Source organism: Homo sapiens, chromosome 11 (assembly GCF_000001405.40).
Source record: "Homo sapiens chromosome 11, GRCh38.p14 Primary Assembly".
Lineage (NCBI taxonomy): Eukaryota > Metazoa > Chordata > Mammalia > Primates > Hominidae > Homo > Homo sapiens.
In genome coordinates, this window is record NC_000011.10 from 134,800,307 (window position 1) to 134,804,865 (window position 4,559).

Sequence of the window (4,559 nt, forward strand, 5' to 3'; positions counted from 1 at the left end):
GGATTGCAGTGCTTTCCTGCCTCAGGACTGAAACGTGCTGTCCACCCTGCTGGACACAGCCTGGGTCCCCACCTCCCGCTGGCTTTCCCGTCTCCTCTTTCAGAGCCCAGGTGCCTGTCACCTCGAGGGAGGCCACAGCGCAGGTCTCTGTGCCCTCTCCCACGGCGTCTAGACCTGGATTTTCCTGTCACCTCACAAATCACAACCATGGATTTCTCTTGTTTTCACTCATCATGTTTGTGAGTGAGCAGCTTTGCTGTGGAGTTGGGGAAAGAAGCTCTGACCAGGATGCAGGGCCGGGGTTGCTTCCCATGGAGCCGCCGCCTCTCCTTCCACCTCTGGGAAAGCCTCTGTGCCTCTTCTGACCCGGCACCCTTCCCTTATATGAGAGAATTGAGACAGGCAGCCTTCACGGGTCTGAATTCAGAATAATAAGAGATGTTTTCACTCCCAGCATCACTGTGTGGGCACCTGCTGTGTGTACAAAGGGCCCCATGGTGCCTCAGCAGTTACCTTGTAAAATGGGGACTTCGTGGGTGAAAATTTTAATCAAGAGGCCTATCCAAGTCTAAGTTTCTCTGCAGGGTCCAAGGGGCTGTCTGAAATTGCCCTCTGTGTCTGTGAGCATTTGGCTGACAGCAGCGAGTGGGAGGGAAGACAGCGCTGCGTGCACCAGCTGTCGGAAGCTGAAGCCCTGGGGAATGGTTGGATTCACTGAGTGGGCAGTGGGCGCTTGGAGACTGACATTTTTCAGGAGCTCAGTATGGAGTGCCTGCGTGATTTTCATGAGAATGGGCAGTACTAACTTCAGAGCAATTGGGGAGCCCAGTGTCACGGATTCCTCCCTCACAGACAGCTGCGGGCGAGAGGGACGCTGGCCCCTTATCCAGGGTGGCCCCAAGTGTCTGCACCAGGTCTGCGGTGGAAGCAGCTGCAGCAGGAATGAGAGAAACAGAAGACTTAGATGTGAGCCCTGAAATGTTAACTTTATTTCCTAAATGAGGTGATGCAAATAAGTGAGGGAGACAAAATGACCGACTGGAAGCAGCGAGCGACACCAGCAGCACTGCCTCCCCGCCGATGCTGGCAGGAGGCTGTGTCCAGATCACACTCTCTTTGGCCACTTCAGATGCAATTCAGTTACCAGTTCTCACAGTAATGAACCTGCCAGGCTGGAGAACCAGTCTAAATGCCCGTGTGCTTTTCAAGCTTCCTGGTTCTCCTCTTTGGCTTGAGGTACACGATTATAAAATAAGAGATATGGGAGCAACAAGACCATGTTTCCTACAGGTCCAGAATGGGAGAAGGCTGAGGCAGTGAGGACTCGAGAACATGGGCCAGTCAGCAAGTCAGGGCAGAGAAAGGGAAGGAAACAGGGCAGGAGGAAGGGAGGGAGGGGAAGAGAGGGATGCGGGTGGGGTGGGGGAAGGGGTTGGACAGGAAGCAAAAAAAAGAGGATGAGCTCAAGAGACGGGAGAAAGAAAAGGAGAGGGAGAGGAGAGAGACGTGGTGGAGGACATGTGAGAGGTGGGGTGGCTAAGAGGAGAAGGAGACGAGCTTTTGTCTGGGGCATGTGATTTGCATACCCTCAAATAAAAGTGGACCCAGGCAGATAAAATCAATTACAGCATATATGATACTGAGAAATTCACAATCTGTACACAAACACAGCAGCAATGCCATGAGCTCATTAGCAACCTGCAAATACAAAGAGAAATGCATGTTTGCGGCCGTCTATCCTCATTGTTTCATCCCCTGGCCCCCAGCTCCTACGGACCAAAGAATGTCATTTCCTTCTGATGAAAAGTTTTTCTCTGACCCTAGTGCTCTTCTCTATTTTCAATTTGAACAGAGTCTCCATTGCTGTACCTTACTGGGTTATACAATACCCTGTGAATGAAGCCTTTCAATCAACCTGCATGTCAGCGCATTGCATAGCTCCTCAGCCCCACAGGCTCCAGCCTGCTTGCTGCTGTGCGGTGACACAGCCTCCTCCAGCTCTGGCAGTTGTGCTGTGTCACATTCCTCTGAAGACCCGTGGCTAGTGTGCAGCAGACTTCTCTTTTGTCTGGAATCTCCTGCTCCTCACTAGAGGATGCTGGAAGGGCACTGGTGCCTGCAGGCTGTTGTCTGTTACTTGCTTAGAATGTCATTCCACCAGCCTTTGTTAAGGGAGTGAAGTCCGTGGAGGTACACGAAGACGAGGGAGGCTCATTCTTTGTGCTGATGTTGATCTCCACCTGACTCACGAAATAAGTGATTCACAGAAGACTATTTTTAATCTTTAACAAAATTTGAAATATTATAGATTCACAGGAAGTGGCAAAAATACAATCCAGAGAGTTTCCCTGTATTATTCAAAAGTTGGATTTTATACAACTACACACCATATAAAAAGCAAGAAATTAACATTGGAATGCTGTGCGTATAGTTCTCTGTTCATTTATCATATGTGTAGATTTGTGTAATTGCCACTGAATCAAGATGTAGACTCATTGCATCATCACTCTTTGTGATCTCTCTAGTCTTATTCATTTACGGTCATATTCAGCCTCCTGCCCCCCACAATCCCGAATCCTCATCAACATTAATTTTTTCTCCATATCTACACTTTTATAACTTCAAGAATGTTATAGAATCTCTATGTGACCCTTAAAGATTGGCTTTTATTCACTCAGAATTGTGCCCCTGAGAGGCATCCAACTGGTTGTATGTATCAAAACTTTCTTTTATTTGTAATTCTCAGTAATGGTACGGATGTACCACAATTTGTTTAACCATTATCTTATTGTAGGGTATTTTGATAGTTTTCAGTGTTTGACTATTGCAAATTAATATAATATAAGCACTTACATTCTGTGTTTTGTGTGAACATAGGTTTTCAATTCTCTCTCCAGGTGTGCAATTGCTGGATTATATGGTAAGTATATGTTAGTTTTTTTTAATTTCCAAACTGTACTCCACAGTACCATGTTATAACCCCACCAGCAATGTATGAGAAATCACATCCTCAGCAGCAAGTGTTATTGTAGCTAATTTTTGTTCTTTTGGTGGGTATTTAGTGATAGCTCATTATGGTCTGAATTTGCATTTCTCTGATGGCTAGTTATACTGAACATCTTTTCATGTACTTATTTTTGATTTGTACCTCTTCTTCAGTGAAATATCTATGTTTTCGCTAACTAGTTAATTGAGCTGTTTCTATTTTTATGGTGAGTTTAGAGAGTTCCTTATATACTCTGGATAGTAGTCCACTGTCATGTATGTGTTTTACACATGTTTTCTCACAACCTGTAGGTTGTATTTTATTTCTTTTGACACGGTCACTTGTAGATTAAAAGTTTTAAATATTGATAAAGTCCAATTTATTGATTTTTTTTAACAGATCAGGGTCCTGGTGCCATATCTAAGAATTCTTTACCAAGCTCTTGGTTTTAAAAATTTTCTTTGTTTTCTCCTAAAGTTTTTATAGTTTTTCAATTTACAATTCTATTCATGATCCATTTTCAGGTAATTTTTGTGTAAAGAGTGTGGTTTAGGTTGAGGTTCATTTTTCCCCGATGCTGTTTATTGGTCAAGCATCACTGGCTGGAAAGACCCTCCTCCCTCCAGTAGCTGCTTTTGCAACTTAGTAAAAACTCAAATGAGCATATCTGCATGGTTCCATTTCTGTTTCATTGATCTGTCTTTTGTCCAGTATCACCCTTTCTTGATTACTACAGACGAAGATGCTCCTCAGTTGTTGATGCGGTTTTCTCCCAATAACTCTAATATAAATTAAAAATATCGTAAGTTGACACCTAACCTATCAAACATCAGAGCTTAGCCTCGCCTACCTTAAACATACTCTGAAGACTTATGTTTGGGCAATATTATCTAACACAAAGCCTATTTCATAATAAAGTATTGAATATGTTATGCAATTTATTGAAAACCGTACTGAAAGGAAAAGCAAGATGGTTGCATGGGTTCTCACCATCAACATACACAGCTGGAAGCGTGCTGGGCCTGAAGAACGTTCAAAGCCCTGAACTAAAATTAACTGCTGGACGATGGTTGTGCTGCAGGGTCACCAACCTCTCTCTTTTCTGATATGGCTTGGGAATTGCTGCTGGAAGGCTCTAGGGCACCTACACTTATTGGTGGTTTAGCAGGAATCGTGTTCCTCAGGAAGATGTCACGAATCAGTATCGGTTGCTTACCCTCGTGATCTCGAGGCTGACTGGAGCTGAGGCTCCCTGCTGCTGCCCAGCCCTGTATCACAGGGCATATCACTAGCACAGGAAAAGATAGAAATTCAAAATTTGAAGTGCTGTTTCTACTGAATGCATATTGGTTTTGCACCATTGTAAAGCTGAAACATCCTAGGTCAAGCCATCATAAGTCGGGGATCATCTGTATATTGTAGGTGTTAACTTCAGATAGAATGACTCCTCCCACTGTTTTTCAAAAGTGTTTTAGCTATTCTAGTATTTTTTCATTTTCATATACATTTTATAACAATCTTTTCTATATCCACAAAATAGCTTGCTGAGAATTAGAATTTGTTGGCAATGACA

The 4,559-nt window shown here is 43.9% G+C and overlaps 1 annotated feature.

Moving 5' to 3' along the window:
* Positions 1,458 to 1,958: an enhancer, noted in NCBI's record as "H3K4me1 hESC enhancer chr11:134671658-134672158 (GRCh37/hg19 assembly coordinates)". NCBI's record gives its function as "activates a minimal SCP1, AML or CMV promoter by ChIP-STARR-seq in naive H9 embryonic stem cells {active_cell/tissue: H9 hESC(naive)}" and the evidence as "EXISTENCE:reporter gene assay evidence [ECO:0000049][PMID:30033119]".